Raw genomic sequence first — 27,802 nt, forward strand, 5'->3', positions numbered from 1 at the left:
TGTCTGGACTGCCTTCATGGTAGTCCCATAGCATTGTGACATGCGACCCTAGTAACAGAATTATTTCATTCTTTATCACACTGCCTTCCTTTTCTCAGACTGTTAAATGTGGCTTTCAGTTAGAACCTCTTACTGGACCTGGAACCACCAATCTCATCTAGCTTCAGGCCCACTGTATCAGCCTCTTTCCTCATGTATGGTCTTTTCCCACCCAGGGATTCCTGTTTTCCCTATTTTCAACTGGAAGTGACATTTAAACTAAGGAATAAAGGAAAATTAGGAATTATCTAGGGGAAGAGGGAAGGCAGGATTGAGTATGGTACATAGAACAAATGAGGAATCCCAGAGAAGGAAAAGCTTGTGCCAAGTCCCAGAGGCCAGGAGCAGCATGGGTGTGTAATAGAGAAAGGTGTGCTGAGAAACTGCAGTCATTACAATGTGTCTGGTGTGTCATAGAGTGCAAGGGCATAGGTGGCAAGAGGTACCCCTGGGAAGTTAGGTTGTGTTAGATCAAGGTGGGTCTTTCCTGGGTATTGAGAACAGAAAGAAAATAATCTGGAAGTGAAACTGGTTGAATTTTCTCAAGTGCAGGTGTTTTATTCTTACCGATTTTTTCCCTGGCCCCTAAGGGCTAGAACACCACCTGCTGACATTCTGTATGTATGATGCATGGCTTGCATTGCTTCTTGGCCCTTTTCTCTATCTTTTTTTCTACTCCCTGGACTAGACTAATCTTACTATTCATTTTCTAGATCTATTGATTGGCATGACGTGGTAGTTGTTTCAAGTTTCCAGGATCCAGCTATCAGTCCTGCCAACTTCTGGATATGTTGGAACTCTCAGATGAATCTTTTTTGTCTACATACTAGGAATTGGCCTTGTCCAAAGTCACCAGATTTAAATAGTCACCACATGAATATCTTGAAGATACAGTCACCATGACAACCCAAAACAAGAATCATACACCTATGGCAGTGACAGGCTGTGTTCCCACAGAGAATTTCCCATCCTATTATCCCTCCCATGTGAAGGCTTGCTGGATAGATCTAACATACTTTTCTCTCACTCCACTTTGAACTCTGGAATCTGACTGTTTATTCCATTCATTTGACAATTAGTAATACCCTCTTACTTTTCATCTCTTACTGTTCCTTTAGCCTTTTGTATATTTCTGTCTTGCATCCCCAAGTGGTGTTGAGTTCCATGAGGGCAGGGAATATGGGTTTAACTGCTTTGAAGCCTCCTCAAGGGCCAGTCTTGTGCCTAGAGACATAGGGGATATTTGGTATATGTTCAGTAAGTGGAACTGTCGGCTGGCAATTAAGCCTTAAGGAAGGCATGGAGAACCTGGAGACCATTCAGAAGAGTGGCCAGGCAACATGGGTGTTGGCTGTGGAGTTACTAGACTTGGAGTTACAGCCCAACCAGTCTGCTCACCCCCCACCTTTTCCTCTCACCTCTATAAAACAAAGGTGATGGTGGAAACTTAATGCTTATTGTAAGGATCAAATGAAATAACATATCAACAAATGAAGTCAGTTTTTGCTGTTATTTATAGAAATGGCCTTTTGAGTTAGAACAATCAGAAGTGAAGGAAAAGGTTAGAACAGATTATACCGGAGAAGACTGGGAAAAGTTCCTATTTGTTGGATTAAGGAAAAGATGCTCTTTCTTAGATTAAGTGCTGCTCTGAGGTTGGACTGCCAGATTTGAATTTCGGTCCCATTGTTTGCTAGCTGTGCAACACTGGAGCAAGTTAACTTAACCAATGTGCACCTTGATTTTATTATAATCTATAAAATGGGAATAATAATATTTACTGCATAAATTTATTGTGAGAAACAAATGAAATAATCAAATAATCCCTGCAAAGTGCTCATTAGCAGAATGCCAGACACATAGTATGTCTCGGGGTGGACTGGTTTATTTATTGTTACTTGTATCAGTTACCTATTGCTGTATAATTAACCACCTCACATGCAATGGTTTGAAACAGTGAATGTTTATTATTGCTCATGAGTCTACAAGTCAGTTCTTTTTATCTCAGTTGGTCTTATTCTTATGTTTTAGTCAGCTCTTGGGCAAGAAGGTAGCTCTGCTGATCATGACCAGGTTCTTTCACATGTGTCGGGGTTGAGGGCTATAGGCTATCTAAGGATGGCCTTGGCTGGGCTCACTGGACTATCTTCCATGTGATCTCTTTTCCTCTAGAAGGAGAACCAGGGCTTGTTCATATGACAGCTGGGCAGGGTACCAAGAGAGAGCGAAAGTAAGGAAGAAGTGACACGGTGGAATTTCTACTGCATCCTATTGGCCAAAGCAGATGACAAGACCAGCCCAGATACAGGAGTGGGGAAAGAGATTACATCTCTTTTAGGAAGATCTGCAAAGTCACATTGCAAAGGGCATAGTTATAGGTAAAGATTGTGCTAGTTTTGCAGTTGATCTACCCTACCACCCTTACATTCCTTCTAGAAATAAGAGAAACAAATCGTTGTATCATGTTTTACAGATTACAAAGACCTTTTGCCTGTAACCACTGAGTCTTGCAATGAGACTGTGAGTTAAGGATGTTTTAGCCTTCATAACATGCTAGATACTATCTTAGGCACATACTTCTTTTGAAACCTTTTTCTTGTCCTTCCAGCACACATTGATCGCTAACATTTGAATAGTAAGTTTTCCTACTAATCCTACTGCTTTCCTGATTCTTCAAGGCTTATGTTATTTTCTTTCATCATTTCATGTTCTACCCATATGCAGAGAAATTGATACTCCAGCCTAAATCCCCCAGAGCTTTGTTTTTCCATGTCTAACTGCTGTTGGCCAACTCTTCATACTTGTCACATGGCTGCCTCAAACTCAGCACGTCCAGATGCATAACCAGACATCTTATTATTTTAAAATATAATTAGACTCATAATTTGCAGAGTAAAAAATACTATGAAGATAAAAAATACATGTAGTAATTGTTTGACTCTTTAAGTCCTGTCTGTATGATTTTTCACCCTCTAAAGTTTTGGATACACTGAAAATGGCTTTCTATAATTAATATTCTTAGGAAAATACTCTCTACACAAAAGCATTTTTTACTCAGCCTTAATCTTAGGTCAGTAGGTAGGGTCCTGAATGCAGATGCCAAAGAGCTTAGGAAATTTTCAGAGTTTTTATTTAGGGTTTCAGTGGTGCTTCTAAATATAGCATGTCCCATTTTTCCTTTTCCCTCAAACTGTCTCATTGATGTAACATGAAACCAAATAGAACAGTGCCGAACAGCTTGAAAGAGTGAATATCATGTGTTGAAAAGGAATATCACAGTATCACCTGGTAAAAATAGCTTGTACCCACAGCAAGCAGAGATTGGTGCACTCTGGGAGAGTGCATGTTTTTTAAAGGTTTTATTCACTTTCCCCTCCCCAAGAAATTGACAGGTGTTTGCAAAAGCCCTATCAAGTAAGAGGTTGATGGATTGTAGGAGGTGGGAGGAAAGAACCTTTAAGCTTAGTGGCCAAGTAATTCTTAAAAGGAAGCAACAGAAATGTGGTTAAAATGGTCCTTTACTTTTCCTTGTCACCAATCAAATATGTTCGTATTCTTGAGGATTGAGGTAGTGATTTGACAAAGTTAAGATTAAGAAGCCTGCAGAGGAACAAGTAGGGAACCATATCATGTATTTATTCCATTTAACAGGCATTAACCAGGAAACACTCTACCTCAAGTGTCCAGAAGATACAAAGGTGAAATAGACATGGATCCTCAAGGAGTTTCCAGCCATGTAGGGAAGATATATGTATGTATATAAATATGCATATAAATACTACCAAGTTGAAAGGGACAGATGTAGTCAGAAAGATATAGGTAAACCGATACAGGGTTTGTATGTTCTGTCATTTATTTATTCTGACAAAAATTGATTGAGTACCTATTGTATCCAGGCACTGTGATAGGTGCTGGGGACAAAGTTTACATTCTAGCAGTGCATGTAAATAACAAGCTTATTGTATTAGTCCATTCTCATGCTGCCATAAAGGAGTGCCTGAGACTGGGTAATTTATAAAGAAAGAGGTTTAATTGACTCACAGTTCCACATGGCTGTGGAAGCCTCAGGAAACTTACATTCGTGTCAGAAGGCGAAGCACACATGTCCTTCTTCACATGATGGCAGGAAGAAGTGCCAAGCAAAAGGTGGAAAAGCCCCTTATAAAACCATCAAATCTCCTGAGAACTCACTCGCTATCACAAGAACAGCAGCATGGAGGTAACTGCCGCCATGATTCAGTTACCTCCCACCGGGTCTCTCCCACAACACGTGGGGATTATGGGAACTATAATTCAAGATGAGATTTTGGTGGGGACATAGCCAAACCAGCCAAACCATATCACTTATAAACCACTAAACAGACAAAATAATGCAGTTTCAGATCATCATTAAGTGCTGTAAGGAAAATAAAGCAGGTTAAGGGGGATAGGTTAGGGGAACTTGTTTTTCAGTAGGTGGTCAGGGATATGTAGAGATAGGGGTGGCAAATTGAAGATCTTCCTGAAATCTAAGACCATGCATAACTAGACATGGGAGAATAAGGATGTCTTCATGCAAGAGCAGTCCACTTTGGTATGGCGGTGGGTGAGAGGGGGTAACAAAGCTCAGAAATGTAGTGAATCTCCATATTCTAGTATTTTGAAGGATTTTCAAGAGGTAGAAGACAGGACCAAGCTGGGACCAATGGCTGGAGGTTTCAAAAGTGAAAATCTATGCTGTCTAGTAGTAGAGTGTAGAAGGGCTTCTGGCACACTGTTGTTAAAGCCTGGTCAACTGCTTATGAACTCCACAGGGGCACAGGAGTGGTGCCTTTGTCATTGTCAAATCCTTGTCATCTGCCTCAGTGTCTGGCATGTAGTAGATGATCAAGGGTTGATTTTTGAACTGCATTTCTGACCGTCACATGTCTGGTTGTGTGAAATCTGTGGATATTCTAGGATATAGTAGGTGATTAAGAACTGATTTTTGAATTGCATTTCTGAACATCATGACTGGTTGAGTGAAATATACGGATAAGTTAAGATGGCTATGGATTTAAATGGAAGTCTGCAGATAACATTTTCCAAAAAGAATGATCTATTCTGGTTTCAGCATCCCTGGATGAAATGAATTAATAACAACGCTTTACTTAATAGACAGTTTCTCTTTCTAGGATCACAGAGTGGTTTTATTGACCATAGAGCTGTACCTGATTTAAACAGGGTATGGTAACTGAATTTCATTTATTCCACTTATTCACAAAACATTTATTTATTTTAGAGAGAATAAGTATTTTACCCAGGATTTCACAGGTAGTAATCACTGAGGCCTTGTGGCTCTAAGTCCATGCTCTTTCTACTACATCCTGCTGTCTTACATGAAACAGATTTTATTTCATTTTATGCATTTCTGTTTATGTATCTCTATGTCATATTTTAATTTCTGTAACAGCAGCATCATTTACCAGCTAAGAGGACTGCCTGCTTTGGATGGAGACCTAGCCACTGTGGTGACAAGGACACCTCATTCTCTGTGAGGTCTTCTGCTTAATGAAGCCCTTCTGGACCTCTCTGGCCTCTATTATTGTCTCCTGTCTCTGATTACCTATAGCATTTGTATACTGCTCCACACCTCACACTTAGCTTATTTTCTTGTTAATTCTGGTTGAGTCTTGTCTCCCTAGATGTAGAAAATCCAAAGGCTGTTTTTTAAACCAGAAGCTCCATTGTCCAACACTAGACATGGGTGCCTGTGATCTATTTGTTTGATTTAGAATCATTCATGGCTGAAAGGAAAGTTGAACTCTGGCCCAGAGAAGTTGTTCAATAAATATTTTTTGGATGCATAGTCTTGGTTCCCCTACAACCTTGCAATTTATTCTTGGCATCATTGTTTTCCGGTGTTCCTCTTAGTGATGTTGTTAACCTCACCATCCTTGAATCAACGTCTGGGGTTTATCTCTGTAATAATAATAGCAGCTTATTTTTTAGCATTATTACTGCATATAAAGCATCATACTAAGTACTTTATACAAATTCTCTTATTAAGCCCTTATCATCACTCTCTGAACCTAGACAGCCTGACCCCAGAACCCACACTCCTCACCTGGGTACTATATTTCCTTTGTAGACCCTTCTTGTGCTTACCAACTCACAAGGGTTCAGCCCTTATGAATTTCTGGTGAAGGTGTGTTGAAGATATTACCTAAGTATTGTAAACATTTCTAAGTCCTTTCTATTTTAGTGTCAAGGCTGTTTTTAATATCTTCTATAAAATTCTGTGGTTTCTTTTTCCTCTTAGGTAGATTTGCTAAGTATAGAAGTGTGCAGGGAATAGCTAGACTAGCATAGAATTGATATATTTGCCACTCCTGGATTTGCCAGGCAACAGGATTCCTTGTTTTCCTGAGCTTTCTTGACACTGTTAATGGTGTTGGACATAGAAGGATAATGTGGGATGTAAATAATGAACACTGGAATGAAGTGGATAGCAGTTCTTGGGACAGTGTTTCTAGTTTTTAGGAAATAGAATAAAACTTCAAAGGCCAGAGAGGGCTGAAGACTGCATTTATTTTCCTGAATCCTTATTTGGATTCCCACTCATTTATTACTATTTGACAGTGACTTATTGGGGATAGGGAGAATGGGGTCCTCTATGGGACTCCCTGCCTCATCATTTTCATTTTCCTTTTAACTACCCTGTGCTTTCATTTGATAGCAAGACTAAAGAACATGAAAATGCCACCGTGGCTGGGCGCAGTGGCTCATGCCTGTAATCCCAGCACTTTGGGAGGCCAAGGCGGGCGGATCATGAGGTCAGGAGTTCGAGACCAGCCTGACCAACATGGTGAAACACCGTCTCTACTAAAAATACAAAAAATTAGCTGGGCATGGTGACAGGCACCTGTAATCCCACCTACTTAAAGGGTGAGCCAGGAGAATCGCTTGAACCCAGGAGGCGGAGGTTGCAGTGAGCAGAGATCGTGCCACTGCACTCCAGCCTGGGTGACAGAGTGAGACTCCATCTCAAAAAAAAAAAAAAAAAAAAGCCACTACTAAACGGTGACGTTTCAGAAGGGCAGATAAAGTTACATAATATTTTTAGGCTTCAACTTTTTGCTTTGGAAATACCACATACTCCATAGGACTGTTGGTGGAATAAATAAGATCCAAATTCCTAACTGTGGCTTGCAACATCCAGTATTATCTGATCTCAACCTGCCTCTCAGACACTCAGATCTTGTTGACGCTTGCTCACCCCACTTCAGTCTCACTGGCCCTCTTGCTCTTGTTCCAGGATGTCCAACTGGCTCCTTAGCGCCATCCTGCTATACCTGCACCTCCAGACCCTCACACGGCTTCCTCCTTCACTTGGCTCAGGCTTCTGCTCTCAAGGACCCCCCCTCAGAACAGTCCTTCTCTCATCTGCAGTCCAGAAGAGCTCTCCCTCCCTCCATCATTCTGCCTATCCACCTTATCCTGCCTTGTTTTCCTTATACTACTTATTGCTATCTAAAACTATTTTAATTTTTTATTACTTGTTTGTGCTACCTTCATTTGAATGTAAACTCTATGAGGGCAAGGATTTTGTCTATCTAGTTTCCTTGTCTCCTCATTACGCCATGGACATAAATGTGCCTGGCACTATTCATTCCACAAGGAATGTTTAGACTTCCTAATTTCAGCTTTGTAACAACTTTTTTTCTTGAGTCGTGCATCTTTTATTTTTGCAAATGTAGCCAATAAAACTTAATTTGACAATTTGACTAGCCTCAGAGTCAAATTGAAGTTCATCGTGAATGCAGCTTCCTACTGGACCACATAGCCACATACACAAAAGATGCCTTTTGTGTAGGAAACATTAGGGGCAGGCCTATCACTAGCAGGTGATTTTGAGAGAAGCAGCTAAGGTAAGATGGAAAGAATTGAATATGAGTAAATCAAGAGAACACCAAGAGCTGTATCTGAACATGACGGAAACTGTAACCAAACTGGATGGGCAAGGGGTACCAGAAGCCCTATACTTATAGGGTGACTTTGATCAAGTCCTTTTACCTCCTCTGCATTTCAGTTTCCTTGGGTGTAAAATGAGGCCCATAGGTGGAGAAATGGGAGGAGGAGAGGCTCCCTACCACATAAGGGTGTTGAAAAACTGTTGAGAGAACATACGTGATAGCAGTCTATATTGAGTAGCACTCACATAAATTGACATAAATGCATATAAAGTGCTTGGCATCCAGTAAGTAGTCAACAAATAGTACCTATTACTATTAATATTAACATTATTAAATCACTTGGAAATGATTTGAAGCACTTGTAAAGATTTGGATCTCTTACTAGTGTTAATGATTATTTTCTTTGAATTTAAGCAAAATTTCGAATTGTCTTCTGTTCCTGTTTGCATTTATAAGCATGGGAGGGCCCATGAGTGCAGTGAGTAAGAATCTAGACTCTAGAGTCAAGACAGAAATGGGTTCAAGTCCTGAAGTAAATGAATAAATAAATAAGCAAATTGACTAAAGTTCAAACCTAATCTTACCCCAAGCAAGCTTTTATTTTCTTTCTCTATCAAATTCCTGTCCATCTTGTGAAGGAGACACTGTGGCCAAAAACTAGGAGCAAGAGAAACTGTAGGCTGGGTAATTCATGGATGCCTTTTGTACCTCTCTATGAACGTGAACCCCCTGTATTCCTTCTCCAGCAGAGACATGAGCATGCTTTGTCCACACAGCCCCGCTGGGCCTTCTCACTGTTTTATGAGACAGATACCAAGACACATCAGAGTGGCAGCCCCTCACTGCCATCATCACTGATGAATGACAAAAGTTTGGAAAAGAAAGAGCTATGGACAAATAACTCTCTCCCTCAAGCTCATCAAGTGGGGACACACATCCTCCTTGTCTCAGTGGTTTCCTGATGTACCTTGAAGGTCCTTCACATCTGTGGTCCTTGCAACTGCTGGGAATGACATAAATCATAATCCTGATATAAAGATTGATTGAATTCTTGCCAAATGCCAGACATTGTGCTTAATCCTTTATCTGAATCCTTCTACAGCACTAGGAGTTGTAGGTACTATTATTGTCCTCATTTTTACAGATGAGGAAACTGAAGTTTCAAGAGATGAAATAACTTTCCCAAGGTACCCCAGTTAAAAAGTAGAAGAGTTAGGCTGTCAATCAAAGTCATCTAACACCAGAGCTTGTCTGTTTTCTGCCAGACTGTAAACTCTTTGGGAGGAGAGACAACCCTCTCATTCACCTTTAGTCCCCATCTATACCCAGTTTCACCTCAGTTAGTAGTTATTAAGATGAAATTTTAAAATCTTTTCATGTGGATGATGCCCTAATGTACCATGAGTGTATCTTGAGTTGCAAGGTAGAAGCTGTCTTCACCTGTGCATTCTACTCAGCCTTTGCACAGACACACAGTCTCCCTCTAGCCTCATGGTACCAGGGAGTGGAGGGTACATCTCTACAGAGGAAGAAACATTCTGCCAGTCCTTCATAGTAAGTGGTGGAGTTAGGATATAAGCTGAGGGCCCTCAACTTCATATTTGGCCATTTTCCCTCTTCTGTATCTTTAAACTTTAAAGAAATGTGGAGATTTTGTGGATGGGGACAATGATATTTGACAAATTCTTTTTTATTATTTTAAAAAATCCTAATTGTGAGGCAAAAGTTATTTTAATCTCTAATACAGGCAAAAATGCTTCATTGATTTTTTTTTTAAAGCAAAGTAATAAAAACCCATGTCCTTTTTTTTGGAATAAATATTATCACTAGGTGTTGAGGTCTGCAAGATGCTAAATAAGGATTCGAGTAAAATGCTTTGCAAAACCATTTCAATGCAAAATCAATAATATGCATTAAAATTTATGAAAAATGAATTAAGAAAAAACAACCCCTTACCTTTTAGTGGATACACACACACATGCACAAACACACACGTACACACACATACACACGAAACATTAACATGAAATGTTAACTTTTGGTCGTCCACTGGAGTTTGAGGAATAATGGCTTCGTAAATGAGAAAAACACCAAGAGCTTTGTATGAATATAATGATTGCCATAACTAACTAGATACGCAAACTAAATGCACAAAGACTAAGTGCATAAGAAAGTAGAAGTCTAACACAGGATCCTAGAAATCCCAGAAACTCTAGACTTTCAGATAAGAATCCTATACCTTTAGTTGCCTTCTGGACATCTTCATTGGATCTTGTGAATGAGACTGTGAACTGGTATTTAGCTAAGCATGGCTGCAAAGCATGCTGAGTCATCAGCATGGTAGGTAAGGAGAGGTGAGTGGTGGCCAGCAGTCCAGAAAACATTATTTTGAAAGGTTTTACTGGTAAAGCTTCAAGATCAAGGGTCCTGGGGCCATAGATGTGCTGGCCTGGCTGGCTGGCTGGGCTGTGCTTCTCTAGTTTATGGCTAAAGCCCAGCCAAATTCCCTTAGAGTAACTTAAGATTTGTTTTATAGTTACTTATATTTTTTGTCTTATCTCTCTGTGAGTTCCTTGAGGAGCCAGTCTCTGACCGGTTCATTATTTTAACTGTTCTTGCTGTATTTACTTCAGAGTAGGCACTCTAGAAATCTCTCTTGAGTGAATTAAAGGATGATTTAAAGAGCATTCACAGGAAGATCGGGTACAAAAATGGTACTACAATAATAATGACAATAATTGCTACCATTTACTGAGCACCTTCTATATGCCAGGTGCATTGTTCGCATTTCTGATTCCTGTCTTTCAGGTCAGCAACCTTTTGTCAAATATTCACTGAGGCTGATTATATGTCCGGTTTTGTATTGGCTCCGGAGTTTTCAGGGAAGAAAGGGACCCAGTCTGTTGCCTTGAGGAATTCACAGAAAAGATAAAGTGCAATTACTATATGGTGAGCTCAGTGCTTCAACAGCTGTGGGAGTTTATGCACAGTGACCTAATAACCTTGGGAAAAGAGGGGTCATGGTGGAGCTAAATCTTAAAGATGAAATAGGAATTTGCCAGATGAAGACACTAGAGGAAGGCAGGGGACAGTGGATCAGTCTGGGTAGACAGAACAGTAAAGGCAGAGGTAGGAAGATGCTCAGCTATGTGATGGGTTTATGGAACATTAATTAAGAAAATATATAGAACACTGGCTGTGTGCTAGGCACTGGGGATGTAATTATGAGCAAATCCTCATAGAGCTTATAATCTAGTATTTATGTTATCTAGGGGATAGCATAAATAATAGTAAAAAGACAAACATTTATCTACAAATTATAGTAAGTTCTATGAAGGAAATGAATTAGATTCTAAGAGAATAGAACATAATTTGGATTTGGTCTTTGTGAGAAAGGTACATTTAAGCAGAGACATAATGGAATAACAAGGAAGTGAGTAGGATGAAGTGTGTGTCAGATGGGGAATTCCATGTGAGTGTAAAGGCCCTAGGGCAGCCATGTTTAAGACGATGTAAGGCCACCAGGGAGACAGCTAGAAAGAGATCACATCAATTCCTTTAGGAGACATTTTAGGGAATTTGCATTTTATCCGAGGTGCAAGGAAAAGGTATTGAAAGGTTTTAAGCAGGGGAGCAGCATGAGTTTTTTCCTTCATTTTTAAATGAAAATTTTGAAGCATACATCAAAGTTAAAGGAATTTTAAAGTGAGCTCCTGTATACCCATCACATAATACCATTTTCATTTTATTGGATACAAAGATGTGATGTATTTTTAAATGCTCTGTCCTCTTTGTAGAAGAGTACTGAAGAGGAAGGAGAAGGGGAAGTGGGAGCTCTAGCCCTAGTCTCATCATTTACTGTCATCGCAGGTAAAGAAGAGCTCCAGCATGGAGGCCTGGAAGGCTGCTCTGCACAGTGTGTGGCAGAGGCCAGACCACAGTGGGTTTTTTGTATCATGCCAGAGTACAGGTGGTCCTATACTTACAATGGTTCAACTTACTATTTTTTGACTTTACGATGGTGTGAAAGCAATACACATTCAGGAGCCCCTCGACTTAACAGTGGGGCAACATCTTGATGAACCCGTCATAAGTTGAAAATACATATTGTCAGCTGAAATTGCTTTTTGACTTATGATATAGATATAGATAGAGAGAGAGAGACAGAGAGACAGAGAGAGAGAGAGTCTCACTCTGTCACCCAGGCTGGAGTGAAGTGGCATGATCTCGGCTCGCTGCAACCTCCACCTCCCGGGTTCAAGCGATTCTCATGCCTCAGCCTCCTGAGTAGCTGGGATTACAGGCATGCACCACCACACCCAGCTATTTTTTTTGCATTTTAGTAGAGATGGGGTTTCGCCATGTTGGCCAGGCTGGCCTCAAACTCCTGGCCTCAAGCGATTGTCCCACCTTGGCCTCCCAAAGTGCTGGGATTACAGGCATGAGCCACCGCACCAGGCCAACTTATGGTATTTTCAATTGAGATGTACCCCGATCATAAATCAAGGAGCAGCTGTATATGTAGGCCATGGGGAGATTGTAGAGGATTTCAGTTGAGAGTAAGGTAACCTCTTATCAGTGGTTTTACTTTCCACAGTTTCAGTGACCCTTGGTACTTGACCTTGATCCCAACCTTCGTCAAAAATGCTACATACAGTAAGATATTTTGAGAGAGAGAAAGAGATCACGCTTACATAACTTTTATTACAATATACTGTTATAGTTGTTCTATTTTATTATTAGTTATTATTGTTGATCTCTTACTGTGCTTACTTCATAAATTAAATGTTATCATAGGTATGTATGTATGTATGTATACAAAAACACCATAGTATATATTGTGTTAGGTACTATCTCAGTTTCAGGCATCCACTGAAGGTGTTGGAACATATACCCAGTGGAGAAGAGGGAACTACTGTAGTGTGAGCAGGCTTGCATATTCCAAGGGTCCTGGAGGCAAAAATGTGTAAGGAAATGTCTGACATGAGATAGACCTGGGCCTGGGAAGTGAGTCTGGAGCCTTTAGTCCTATGCAAGAAAGAGGATAAGCTGTGTTCTGTAAGGCCAGGGAGAATGGGAAGAAAGAGAGAGGGGGAGGGGAAATATTTGACGATTATTTAGGGGTATAATGCCTGAACCATAATAGTTGCTTGATAAGCATTTATTGAGTGAATTAAAGTACAATCAGCAGGACTTAGAAAGTCCTGGTGATGAAAGACAAGGAGATGAGTTGTAACCTGTGCAAGTCACTCAACTTCTCTAAGCCTCAGCTCTTCATCTGTGAGAGGGGAAAGCTAAGGGTACTTCCTATTATATTTGTCAAAAATCTCCAGAGAAACAAAGTAAATGGGATGTTTCTCTCTCTCTCTCTCTCTCTCTCATACATATATGTTAGATACATGACCCTATACTGCACAGCTTATCCTCTTTCCTAAAGAAGACTAAAGCCTCCAGATTCACCTCCCAGACCCAGTTCTATCCCATGTTAGATACATGTATATAAGTAGATACATGTGTATATGTATTAGGTGTAGGGGAGACATATAGGGAATTGGCTCACATGATTGCAGAGGGTCACAAATCCCAAAATCTGTAGTCAGCAAGATGGAGACCCAAGACAATTGATGGTATAGTTTTAGTACAGATGCTGGCAGGCTTAAGCCTGGAAAGAGCCAATGTTTCAGTCTGTGTTCAATAGCAGGAAAGAATTGAAGTCTCACCTTAAGACAGTCAGGCAGGAGGAGTTCCCTCTTACTTGAGGGAGGGTTGGCCATTTTGTTCTATTCAGGCCTTCAACTGATTGGATGAGGCCCACCCAAATTAGGGAGGGCAAATGACTTTTTTCCGTCTAGGGAGGGCAAATGACTTTATTCAGTCTACTGAGCCAAATGTTAATCTCATTTAAAACACCTCACAGACATATCTAAATAATATTTGACCAAATATCTGGTCACCCTGTGACCCAGTCAAGTTGATACATAAATTAACTATCATACTTACCCTGCTTGCTGTGAAATGCTGTTAAGTTTTAAAATACTGTACACATGAAAGGAAGTATCACTATTGATTCAAAGAGAAAAGGTTACTTTAATGATAATAGCTTAATTTTATCCAGTGCTTCCCATATCCCAATTATTATTTGGTCTTACTAGCATTATCTCATTTAATTCTCTCAATAACTTTATCCCTCTGTTTACCCGTTAGAGAGTCCATGTCTACAATTGTTGCTGCACACAGATTCCCTGCATTAAGACATGGTGAAGAGGAGCACAGTCTCTGGAGCCAGACTTCCATGGTTTCAATCCCAGCTCTGTCACTAGCCTACATGACCTTGGGAGCAAGTTACTAACTTCTCTGTCCCTGTTTCCTCTTCTCTGAAATGGGATAATTGCAAAGTGCTTAGGACAGAGCCTGGCATTTAGTATACAAATATATACCTTGTGTGTGTGTGTGTGTGTGTGTGTGTGTGTGTGTGTATATAGTATTTGTGTGTTTATATATCTATGTGAATATATTGCAGTAGTAGTGGTGGTGATGACGACAGTGATTACACAGAGAGCAAACTCTCATGCCTTCAGGCACCAGTCAGGTAATATCAGTGTGTGAAGCGATAAATAATAGGTCAATATGGAGTGGGGGAAGTGAGTGGAGAACTAGGGAGTGTCCTCTTAACTTGAAGGCATTAAAATCCAGGAATTTCCAAAACACTACTTGGGCCACCTAAAACTCATTTTTTTTTTACCCTCAGGTTGCCGTCTGCCAAACTGTAATGAGTGTTTCACAAGTACTTCCCTTAACAATTGTGCTAGCAGAGTGGCCCATTTTACAGATGTCAAATTCGAAGCTCACTTACAAGGTAGTCAGTACCAGGGGAAACTGGGACTGAACAAAGGGAACAGAGGTCTGACTCCAAAGCCAGTAGGGCTATTTGGATGGTCTCAAGGTTCCTAGGTGAGTGGAACTGGAACATTCAGTTCGTCCTACTGTCTGTCATCTCTAACCCCTTTGAGGATACGATCTCTCACTGATCTGTGGCAGAGGTAGAGCAAGTGAAAGAGGAAAGGTGCCTGTGGTGCTTGCAGTCTCCCTGGAATGTCTTCTGTGCTCTCCCTGTGCAAATCCCACATCCTGCTGACACCACCCTCTCTTCTCCATTCCCGTGCCTATCACATGTGCGTCTGTTGGTGGCCATGCAGGTTATGGCTGTTTATGTTTGTGATGCTCCTTCCATTGTGAGCTCAGAAGGGTTAGACCCATATTCATTTTTCCATCTCCTACCTGTTTGAGTTTCCATTGAGTACCATCCATTAAATACCATCTGCTGGATCTGAGTTCTAGTTATTATCCATCTCTCATCAAGTGATGAAGTCTGGGTGATTCATTTGCCATCTAAGATGTTCAGTTTCTGCAACTTTTAATTTGTAATTATTTATTATTATTTTTTAGATGGGGTCTTGCTTTGTTGCCCAGACTGGTCTCGAACTCCTGGGCCCAAGAGATCCTCCTGCCTCAGCCTCCCAAGTAGCCAGAGCTACAGGTGTGTGCCACTACACCTAGCTCTCCATCTTTAAAACTGGGATAATAACTGTCACAAGTTGTATTCCCCAGGAAGTAGATTCTGATGTAGACTAGCATGTAGGAGATTTATTAGGGAGCGTTCTTGGGATCATCACAGGGGAAGAGAAGGGAAGGAAGCAGGATCAGGCAAAGGGAGAAGAGAGGTTACAGTACATTTTTAATGAAGGCCTCAGCCCCTTCCATGAGAAGCTCTGAAGCTAAGATAGCCTTTCAAAATAGTCCTGAGTCAGGGTGAGGGTGTCAGGTCTTTATACCCTATGTTGATCACTCACTGGATGTGGACACCTCAAGAAGGGGGCATGACCTTGGGAAAGACAATTCTCTCAGTCAAGGCAGTTTCAAAGAGAGTTGACAGTTGAGGGTTGTCTAAACTAAAGTTATTCTGTTTCAGAGGAGGACTTGGAAGGCATCACAGCCTCCCAGTAACCCAAGAAACCAAGTTGGTTAACCCAGTTACTCAAGTAACAACTTCACAGGAAGGTTGATACATGTAAAAGCATACTGTAAGGTGTTAAACTTAAGGTTTTAGTTGTTGTTAATGTTAAAAGTAATATTACTGGGGCTGGGTAAATACTTCTTCAACTGAGTTGATTCTGTGTTTTTAGAGCAGCTTCTCAATAAAACTCATGCAGTTAGTATACACCCTTGTTTTATTCTTCTCACTTCCCAAAGACACCCTTCTCCCTCTCTCTTTTGTTATTAAGCTCATCTTAAACGTGCGTATGCCATCCTATTTTAAAACCTCTAGGGTTGGTTTGATTTGATTTCCTTTCCACTGAAATGACTGTTCTGAACTCTGACCTTAATCTGGGATGGTTAGAACAGCTGGAAGCACTTTCTTGACTGTCTATCTATCTTCAGACTTTATATTCCATACAGTCTCAGAGAAAGTTTAAGTGCGGTCTTTAAACATTGCTAACATTAACAATTCCCATCAATGAAGTTAACTAAATGTAAATCAGTACTGGCACTAGCATTCCCAACTTTGTACTGATCCTGGATAGGCTTGTAAGGCTCAGACGTCAGAATATCTTAGCAGAAGCTGACAACAGGAAAAATGAATGTTCTAAAGATCAAGAATATTGAGCAACTATGAGTCAATTCCAGGGACTAGCTGCTTATAGAAAAGAACTGTGTATGGGAGTTCAAAGGTGTAATATGTTGTTGATTTCACACACACACACACACACACACTCACACACATACTGATGTGGTCAGGCAATCATTCTCTGAATTCCATCATCATTTGATTTCTCTCAAATATATATGTGTATATATTTCTAACTCACAAATCTCATTGTGTCATTTCCCTGATGAAATATCTTCTGTAGCTCCCTGACATCTCCATCAGAAAATCTAAAGTCTTAGCAAAGCTCTTATGTTCCCTAAATATGCCAGAATTTTTATGCTGCTGTGTCTTTGGGCATGTCGTTTCCTTTCTGCAGAAAGCTTTCTCATTGCTTATGCATCCTTCAGGTCTCAGTTCAGATGTTACCTCCACTGGACAGCCTTCCCTGGCTTCCCCACAATGACACTTGCTGTTCTGTGCTGCCTTTCCTCCAAGACAGTGAGCTGCAGGATGGAAGGAAATAAATTCGTGGACTAGTTGGAGGGGTGAGAAGATCAGGGTAGAGAGAGAATGGGAGAAGTTATATGCAAAGCCTTTGTACTTAAAACTTTCATCTTGCAGAGTCGATACTCGGTTATATGTATCTCTAAAAGTGTGACTTAATATATCTGATATTTCATTTTGTTCTTGGCTTTAAGAAGAACCAGAATCTTTTGATTCAAGGATTAGAAGAGCTTCTAAAGGTAGGCTTTCTGACAAAAGGAAAACTTTCCCCTGACTGCCCTCTTGTGGAGGTGCCAAAATAGCCCAAAGATGGCAAGTCCATAAAATCATCATAAACCTTAATTGAGAGAGCAGTTTTCTGTACTGTCTGTTGTACTGGTTAGTCAAGCTGCCATATGCATATAATTACATATTTTTAAAATTTGAATGTGGCAAGGCATGCCCCAAACTGAATTCAGTTTGTCTCTGGTAAATCAGATGGTTCTTCAAGAATACAGAATACCCAGAGTGAAGGTTATGAACAGCACATGGAGACAGGCCACATGTGATTAAGAGCGGTCTCTGGTGGATGAAGTGCTAGATGCACACTAGCTTTCACTAGCACTTTAAGTTCCATTTCCCCTAGGCTCATGCCATGCCTAAGAATCATCTGCTGACCTATGTTAAAATGCTGATTTCTGAGCCATTCATCCAGATTCTGATTCAGTGTGTCTGGGCTAGAGCCCAGGAATCTGCCTTTAATAAGCACACCAGGGTGATGCTAATGGATGTAGCCCTTTTGAATCTTGCAGTGGGGATGGGTTTTATAGAGTCATTTACATGCTTTTCTACAACTGGGGCAACTTTCTTATTTTATTTTGAAAATTTTTTATTGTTATACTTTAAGTTCTGGGATACATGTGCAGAATGTGCAGGTTTGTTACATAGGTATACACGTGCTATGGTGGTTTGCTGCACCCATCAACCCGTCATCTACATTAGGTATTTCTCCTAAAGCTACCCCTCCCCTAGTACCCCCACCCCCTGACAGGCCCTGGTGTGTGATGTTCCCCTCCCTGTGTCCATGTGTTCTCATTGTTCAACTCCCATTTATGAGTGAGAACATGCAGTGTTTGGTTTTCTGTTCCTGTGTTAGTTTGCTGAGACTGATGGCTTCCAGCTTCATTCATGTCCCTGCAAAGGACATGAACTCGTCCATTTTTATGACTGCATAGTATTCCATGGTGTATATGTGCCACATTTTCTTTATCCAGTCTATCATTGATGGGCATTTGGGTTGGTTCCAAGTCTTTACTATTGTGAACAGTGCCACAATAAACATACATGTGCATGTGTCTTTATAGTGGAATGATTTATAATCCTTTGGATATAAACCCAGTAATGGGATTGCTGGGTCAAATGGTATTTCTGGTTCCAGATCCTTGAGGAATTGCCACACTGTCTTCCACAGTGGTTGAACTAATTTACACTCCTACCATCAGTGTAAAAGCATTCCTATTTCTCCACATCCTCTCCAGCATCTGTTATTTCCTGACTTTTTAAAGATCGCCATTCTAACTGGCATGAGATGGTATTTCATTGTGGTTTTGATTTGTATTTCTCTAATGACCAGTGATGCCTTTTTTCATATGTTTGTTGGCCACATAAATGTCTTCTTTTGAGAAGTGTCTGTTCATATCCTTTGCCCACTTTTTAATGGGGTTGTTTGTTTTTTTCTTGTAAATTTGTTTAAGTTCTTTGTAGATTCTGGGTATTAGCCCTTTGTCAGATGGATAGATTGCAAAAATTTTCTCCTATTCTGTAAGTTGGACTAGGACAACTTTTTATAGAAGTCATGATTTTACCTATTCTCATCTATTGTCTCCATTAGAGCACTCTTTTTAGAACTTATGCCTTGATTTTTGGCTTGAAAGACATGGTCTTCATTTCCATACATGAGATTGCTAGTAAGAATTAGGCATTTGATCTATAACTATGGAACAGACTTTCTTTCCTGTCTCCTTTCCTCCTTCCCTCCTTTTCTCTGTAGCTACCTACCTGTCTGCCTAACTATGTACCTATGTACCTACCCACCTGTATTTACAAACCAACCTTCATTGTGCCTTGTACCCAGTGAACCAATGTGAACTTCAGAAAAGCCAGCCTTTCAGAATGGGGATTACCCTGGGATTTTGACCTTTTTGATAGGGAAAGATGAAAAAGCATTGGCCAGGAAGTTTAGCTCTCCTAGAGAATAATACCAACAGCCATTTTTTTAAGATATGGAGTCTCACTCTCACTCAGGCTGGAGTGCATTGGCATGATCATAATGCCCTGTAGCCTCAAACTCCTGGGCTCAAGTGATCTTCCCACGTAATCCTCCTGAGTAGCTGGGAATACAAGCACACAACACTTTACCTGACTAATATTTTTTATTTTTTTTATTTTTTGAGACACTGGGTATTGGTTTGTTGTCCTGGCTTGTCTCAAACCCCCAATGTCAAGTGATCCTCCCAACTCAGCCTCCCCCAACTGCCATTTCTTGAACACCTGCCAGATACCAGGCATTCTATAAGACTTTTTAGGTACATTATTACTAATTCATCAAAGTAGTTCACAGGTGAGGAAATTGGAAGCTTAAAGAGGTTATGTACTATGTAAGTCATCTAGAGTCTTTAAGGTTGAACTATAACTTGAATCAGGTATGTCTGACTTCAAAGCTCCTTCCTCTCTCACTGGATGAGCATGTATCTAACTACCTGCAGGTGGATACCAATGGTCATCAGCCTTCTCTGGGTCTACTAGTTAGTTTTGTTGTCATTAAACATAAAATTTGGGGAGAAAACTCCATATTCAAAAAAGTAAGTTAGCAAATCAAGCATTTCTCCAGGGCACAGCTGCTATTTTCCCACTTTCTGAGAAATCTGAAAATCAGTATTGAAATAGAAAGGAAAAGAATGCTTACTGTGAATTTTTAGAAGTTTCTGAAGATTGTTTTAGGACCACACTGGGCAGCCACGTATCTTAATTTTGCATTTTGTAAAGAACCTGTGGCATTGTTGACACTCCTGAAAGGTCAATAACTACTTGTTTGGTATTTCAAGTTAATTGTGAGTTTCTGCATTTTGCATAGCTGAGTCTTTATTGTTAAAAGGTCCCTCATAAATGTTGCATTCCCCTCATTGTTGAGAGCTGCCTTGAATGCCTAGTAGGCCAATGGAAATACATTTGTTGCAGTGGAAAGGCATTTGACTTAACACAGCGTAATTAATTTTTCTTTAGCCATCAGGACATTTTTAAAAATCAAGTTTGTGTTTTTCTGATTATGAAAGAAGCACATGTTCAGTGTTAACAATTAGGAACATATAAAACAGTATAAAGATGATAAATCATCCATGATCTTCTTACCCAAGAGTAATTATAGTAGTAATTTTTTTAAAGTTCTTTAAATAAGGCATGTTTACCATGTGTCAACTCTGTTGTAGGGTAGGTGACATAATTCTAATTTTATAGATTTGGTAACTAAGCTTAGAAAGGTTAAATAATTGTCCTGCTTAGTTTACAACATTCTGTTTTCCCCTAGTTCCAAAGCCTATACTGTCCCACATAACCACTGTTAACATTCTAGATTGTTTCCTCCAAGTCTTTTTTTATGCATATTTTTTCATGGCTGAGATCATACTGTGAACACAGTTTTGACCCTCCCATTTACCCTTCACATAATGGTATAAGCATTTTCCTTATATAATATGGCTCTGCCTCCCTCCCTGCCTTCATCTCATACCTGCCCCCTTCTGTCTTGTATGCCACACTCCAGTCACATTGGCCTTTTTTCTGTTCGTGGAACAAGTCAAGAATGTTCTTGCCTTGGGACCTTTGCACTGGCCATTTCCTCTGCCTCAAACACTCTTGTCTTAGATCTTAATGGCTCATTGGTTAGTTTTTTCTCATCCTTTAGGTAGGTGTCAGCTTCAATATATAGGTTTTCCCTGAAAGTCTTATCTCACATAGGTCCTGTTTTCTTTCTTAGCACTTGGTGGATTTCCTTCATAGCACTTCTTATAACTTACCATTAGTTCATTTTATTTGCCTTTTTATTGTGTTATTGTATCACCTTCACCTTTATAGGTCTGGGCCTAACATGGGCTTATACATGATGCTGCATTGAACATTTTTCTATATAAAACACTTTCTCTATCATTATGATAGTTTCATAGAAGTTCAAACTAGATCAAAGTGTAGGAACATTTTGAGGGCTCTTGCTTCACATTACTGCAAAAATTTCATCCCAGCATCCCAAAGTGTATACAACTATAAGCACTGTGTGGGGGTGCCAGTTTCACTGCATCCTTGCCAGCATCATCAGTTTTTAAAGTCTTAGCTATTTTGATAGGTGACTTAAACCATGCCTGCACACTGTAGGTGCTCAGTAAATTTCATTTGCTAAAGAGATGATATATAAAGTTGACATTTGGCCAGAGTTCCAAGAACACACACATCCTTTCCTGGACTCCTTTTCCTTTGAGGTCACACAGAGAATGTAATACAGAGAACAGCAGTAGCCAGTGCCATGGCGTACACCTATAATCACAGCACTTTGGGAGGCCAAGGTAGGAGGATGGCTTGTGGCCAAGGGTTCTAGAGAAGAGCGGCAAGTAGAGGTGCCCAGATTGGCTCTATTTTCAGCCTTCATAATCTGGGCAGGATCTTCTGAAAACTTTATTTTGCTAGGCCTAGAGGTAGCCATTGTCTAAAAATACAGTTGCCCCTTGCTCCTTTTCCTCTAAATCTATATCCAAATAGTAAGGAAGGACCTATTCAGAGCAAAGAAAGCATATTTGCGTTGTCATTGCTGGCATAGACCTGTCCAAATGCCATTTCAATATTATCTCCTTGACAGATGAGGTACCATTTTTATTCAGATATCTAATTAGCAATCGCTTTAAAAATTCATCATATTTAATGCATGGCATAGTAAATACTTTATCCTCTGAGACTTTAACCCAATATAAAGCTCTTGAACCTGACTGTATTTACAGCTGCAAGCCTCCTTCTTAGGGAGGCAGCGAAGGGGGAGATAGATGCAGAGATATCCCCTTAGCATTATTTTCATGTATGAGTTTTAAAACTAGTTGTGAGGGTAGATGTTTTCCCACATGTTTGTTCACCAGTTGTAAGTCCTATTTGGGGTAACTGTTCATGTGTTTTGTCTGAGTCTGTATTGTGTTTTGTAATACATTTATGTGAGTGCTTTAAGTAGTAAAAGCAGTGATCTTTTTTTTTGTATCTTTGGTAAATATTTTTCCAGCTTGTCTTCCCTGAAACTTTTTCTGTTTTAGACTTCCTGAAGTTTTAAATGTACATGTAGGCCATTCCGTCAATATTTTTCCTTGTTAATTGCTTTTAAGCTTATAAGAGTCCAAGATTGGCTAATGGGTTACTTTTTTTTCCTAGTTATTTTATGGTTTGATAAGCATGTCTTGCTTAGAAGGTCCTTTCTACTTGTATAAAGGAATGTTGAAATTGTATGAAATGTAAATACCTGGTTCCACAGCATTTTCCTTGAAATTGGGAAATTTTTCTAGTTTGGCTTTGAAAAAAATAGATTTCAAAATAAGGTATAACTAGATAAGATTTAAAGGTATTTCTTTGTTTAGTTCCTTGGAACCATTCAGCTTTTATATATATATATATATATATATACTCTCTCTGCTCTGCCTCCTGGAATAGTATGCGGAGGAACCCTTTAGCATACTAATATAATAAGGATGCTTTTTATGGCTTAAGAGATCTTGGGAATCCTTGGGAAATTGTTCAGTGACTCTCTGCAATGGAATTAATGTTTTAAACCCAGAAGCATGCATTCTATATAAGAGATATATTTTCAGAGCTCTTCTTGCTATGAGCTTTCCAACCCTTGCCTCCTACCACCCTGGGAGTGGTGCACCCTCCACACCCCGCACCCTCCACCCCCAGATAATTGGATTGGAGCTAGTGTTCTTTGTTGTTTGCTTTTCAGAGAGGGGTGGTTGTGTATTATATTCTGGAAGGAATAGGTACTGCTGTAGTGTGAGTGCATTCTCTCGGGGACTCTGCAGATCCAAGGCCAGTTCTTCATTCTGAGCCCCTCAAGTCACTCCTTGGCCTCTGCTGTTCTTTAGCTAAAGGAAGAGATTCCCATTGTTCCCATCTATTTTTCCAAAGGGAGAATGCCAGTACTGAGGAAGAGGGTGGGCTTAGAGAGTCAATCAATTATCTTTTGGGCTTAAAACTAAAGAAAATGAACCCATGGTTCAAGGATATCTACTTCATCATTTATTATTTTCCATGTGAAAACCCCCTTGGAGCAGGATAATCTTTTTCTAATCACTGTACTGAATGGATCCCCAAAACAGCCAACCAGAAATGGAATTTTAAAACATGGCTTATTTTAAATTAATTTATTTTCTTTTTTAAACCAATATAATGAGGAAGCAGAGAGGTACAGAAAGGGCTAGGGACTTAGCCAAGGTGACAGAGCTAATTAGTGACAGAGCAAAGATGCTTGCTGTTCATGTCTTCCACTCTAGTACTTTCTACTGTCTCTTTTCTCACAATCTTCAGAGGTGTATAGTTTACAACTGTGGCTATGTACAACAGACTATGTCTTCTAGATTGTAATTTTTTAAACTTAGCTAAAATAACCTATTGAAGATAAATATATTTTAATTTTTATAAATTTCACCTTAGCGATGTGACCTAAAATGTAACCACCTCAAGTAGACACTGAATTTTCTACACGAAATTTGCTGTGGACTAAATTGTGTCTTCAAAATTTGCATATTGAAGCTCTAGCTCTTGATGTGACTGTATTTGGACATAAGGCTTCTAGGGGGTAATTAAGGTTAAATGAGGTTATAAGGGTAGGGTCCTAGTCTGATAGGATTGTTGGCCTTATAAGAAGAGGAAGAGAGAGATCTTTCTCTCCACCATGCAAGGACACAGTGAGAAGGCAGTCACCTGCAAACTAGGAGGAGAGTCCCCTCTAGAACCCAACCATGCTGGCACCCTTATCTCAGACTTCCAGCCTCCACAACTACAAGAAAATACATTTCTTTTGTTTAAACCACCCAGTCTATGGCATTTTGCTATGGCAGCCCAAGTTGACTAATATAAAAGCTTTATTGCCTCACTAAATTCTGGTTTCTAGACCCAGTAGACATACAAATTACAAGATCATTGAGGCTGATCTGTGTTTTAGAAAAATCATTCTGATAGTTCCTTTGAGGCTCTGTGTGCCTTTTGTGTGATTGAGTTGTGAGTGCTTCAGAGCACTTGCTTTAATTGTAAGGAATAGCTTATTGTTGACTGGAAACATCCTGGCTCACAAATGAAATTGATGAAAGCTGGCCTGTCCTTCACTGAACCAGGAGTGAAGGATATATTAGCATTGTGATGTCACTGTGGCCAGAGGCCTTTGCTGGACTGGGAACTCACTTCTGAGTTCCTGAAATCACTTAATTATAGGCGAATACACATAATACCTGAACAGCATCACTGCACTATTTTTGTCTTCCCTTCCATGCTGACTTATTCATTAACATTTGTGTAAACCATCTGAACCATAGAATCCTTTTGGGAGGTCCTCCAGCTCATCTCTTCTATCTGTAGACCAACTTTTCCTCGAGCATCTCTAACAAAACTCAGAGGCTCTCATCTTCCCCACTGAAGAGTTGGTGCCCTTGAACTGATGGATTCAGCTGATGTCAAAATTGGAAACAAATATTAACGAATATTTAATTCAATCTCGGACAAAGTAAGAGATCTAAAAATGTGTGGTCCCAAGCCTCTTAAACTTCTTGAAATCAAAGAAAGCCAACTGCTGGCCTGAAGGTCTTGGCAGAATGGTAATGCTACTTCTATAGCATTAACCACCAAAAGCCCTTCATCTCCAAGGATAGACAGGCTCCTTCAATCACTCGGTGCACTAGAAGCCAGGAAACAAGAAAGGGCACCCACCCACACAGCCAGTCAGCACCTCTCATATCCTCCCACAGACCCTGTTCTCCAAATACTAGACAGCAGAATAATCAGTTAAGCCTTAGTGACTGCCAGGGTGTTTCAGATCCATTCAAATGACTGTGTTGGTTTTACCAGGCTTGGCAATTGTTCTTTGCAGAAGGCTGAGTCTAGCAATAGCCCCATTTCACAGCTGATGGTGCTAACCCATGGCAAGGCTTGAAGTCTCCACAGCAAAGGAATTGAGCAGCTCTGACTACAAGCCACCTGAAAGTGAATGAGCTCCTCAAATATTATCCGCCATTCTGCCACACTGCCAGTCACTAGGATAAAGAGAACCAGAAATGGTCGCTGGCTTTGTAGAATTCTCAATGTAGCAGAAAAGAAAGACTCATAAGAACTTATCATTACAGTGTGAAAAGGGCTGTAATGTTGGAAAGGAAGCAAGGAGGCTACAGGAGCAGAGAGGAGGGTAACCTAATGCAGATTCTTAAAAACTGGCTAAATTAAATTAAAGATGTAAGGCATTGTTAACTTTAAAGGTTTTCCTTTTTAGATTCCAGGATGATCTCTGTACCTTCTAATATAGTTTTTTTGAAAAAACAAACTTGATTTTTAAAAACTTTGGTTTAATTTCAACATTCTCTCATGTTGGCTTTTTAAAAACCTCTTTCTGGCTAGGTGTGGTGACTCATTCTTGTAATCCCAGCATTTTGGGAGGCCAAGGTGGGCAGATCAATTGAGCTCAGGAGTTTGAGACCAGCCTAGGCAACATGGCAAAACACCATCTCTACAAAAAAGTTTTAAAAATTAGCCAGGCATGGTGGCATGTGTCTGTGGTCCTGGCTACTCAGGAGGCTGAGGTGGGAGGATCACCTGAGTCCAGGAGGTTGAGGCTGCAGTGAGCCATGATTGCACCACTGCACTCCAGCCTGGGCGACAGAGTGAGACTTTATCTCTAAAACAAACAAACAAAAAACAAAAAACCATCTTTCTAACCCTTTCTGTTTTTAGCGTGGGCTTGGGGAATGAGGTGTATTTTCTCAGTGATACCATCAGGGGTGGGAAGGATAAGGCCAAGTACAGTGGGAATACAGACGGTTCCTAGGGTCACCTGCAGAAGAATAGCCAGATGGGGAAACTCAACGCCTAAGAGATTCAGATGTTTAAGAGTCATGTAAAAGCCTCAAAAGCATTTGAGGTCCCAACATGTAAAGTATAGGAATTCTCAGGTTGGTATTTGGGCATCAGAGAGTTGGGTGGAGGTTGTAAAAAGGTCTGCCACAGAGGACAGTTGGAAGGTTCTGGTGCTGAAATCAGTGGGGAATGACAGAGGCTAAACAGGCTCAGGCAGAGGTTATGTATGACAACTGAGTCTCTTTTTTCCTCCTGTTAAAAAGTTAGTGATTTTATCTATCTCAAGTTTGTTGTAAGCTATAAATGAAACTCTCACATATAAAAAGACTAGTCCTTGAAAAAATCCCCACCTCTCCTTTCTCCTACCCCCTTCCTCTGCATTCTCACACTACTCTTTTTCACTTTTCAGAAGCCAGTAGTGTAGAGAAAGAGCTATTCTAAAATATTCTATACAATGTGTGCCACTAGGCTTCTAAGGGAGATGGTGATGTAGTAACTTTCAAGACACTTAGTCTAGTATTGCAATTGAAAAAAAAAATTGAACAGTATATATTAGTCAGAATAGGCCAATTACTGTAACAAACAACCCTGAAATCTCAATGGTTTGACACAGTCAGGGTTAGCTCTTGCTCATTTCACAGTTCAGCATGGGTCCATAGGATGCTATACTCCACTCAGTCATTCAGGGACCCAGGTGCCTCTCATCTAGTGGCTCTGTTCTCCTTTAGGGCCTCAGAGTTCTCCTTTGTACCCTTTGCATCTACTTGGTAGGCAAAGGAAGAGAGAGAGTGAAGATGGCACATCATAGAGAAATTGTTAGAGACTAGTCTTAAAAGTGATGTGCATCACTTCCACCCACATTCCAATGGCCGGAGCTCAATCACTCAGCCCCACTGTATTCTAGCTGTATGGCTAGGCAGAAAAGGAAATAGGACTGGGTGGACACTTGGCAGTCCCTGCACCGCAGTCAGAGGTAGCCCAAAATGAGGCAAATTATTGGAAAAGTAGTGAATGAGCTCCCTTTCACTGAAGGTATGTAAGCAGAGTCCAGTGACCCCTTATTTTCCAAGTCCTACTGGAGTAAGGTGGGGGAAATTTAAGCTAGAAGAATGCAGAGGACCTTTCTATCTTTGAGGTTCTCTGATTCAGTAAAGCAGAAGGGAATTGGAGCTGAATTACCCATCTGAATTTCCGGTGACTTAAACTGAGTTCTTGGAGTAGAAATAGAATGTTGAATTTCATTTCATGAATTGTTCTTCCAGCTTGACGTATTGGAGATTTTTAGCACGCACGCTCACACCTGGCTGCTCGCCACCTTCTGCCATTGCAGATACGCTTACAGGAAACCGTAAGTGGATCTGCTTTTGATGCTGGCAGCGTCTTACTAAAATGCTTTTGCTGGCATCATGGAACAGGAGCAGAATTCAGCTGGGACCAATAATGAGGCTATTTAGAAAGTTCTCTCCTCCACCCCCTGACAAGGCAGATGTGGTAGGGATTTTTCCACTCCCATTCTGTCGATGGTGGCCAAAATTAGTTCAAGGCCATCAGAAGTGTTTAGACC

General features: G+C 40.3%; 1 protein-coding gene across 3 annotated transcripts in view; it reads left to right on the forward strand.

Moving 5' to 3' along the window:
* ELAVL4 (ELAV like RNA binding protein 4) overlaps nt 1-27,802 on the forward strand; it is a 155,718-nt gene that overhangs the window by 15,640 nt on the left and 112,276 nt on the right. The gene's annotated exons all lie outside the window — the stretch shown is intronic.

Source organism: Homo sapiens, chromosome 1 (genome assembly GCF_000001405.40).
Source record: "Homo sapiens chromosome 1, GRCh38.p14 Primary Assembly".
Classification (NCBI taxonomy): Eukaryota; Metazoa; Chordata; class Mammalia; order Primates; family Hominidae; genus Homo; species Homo sapiens.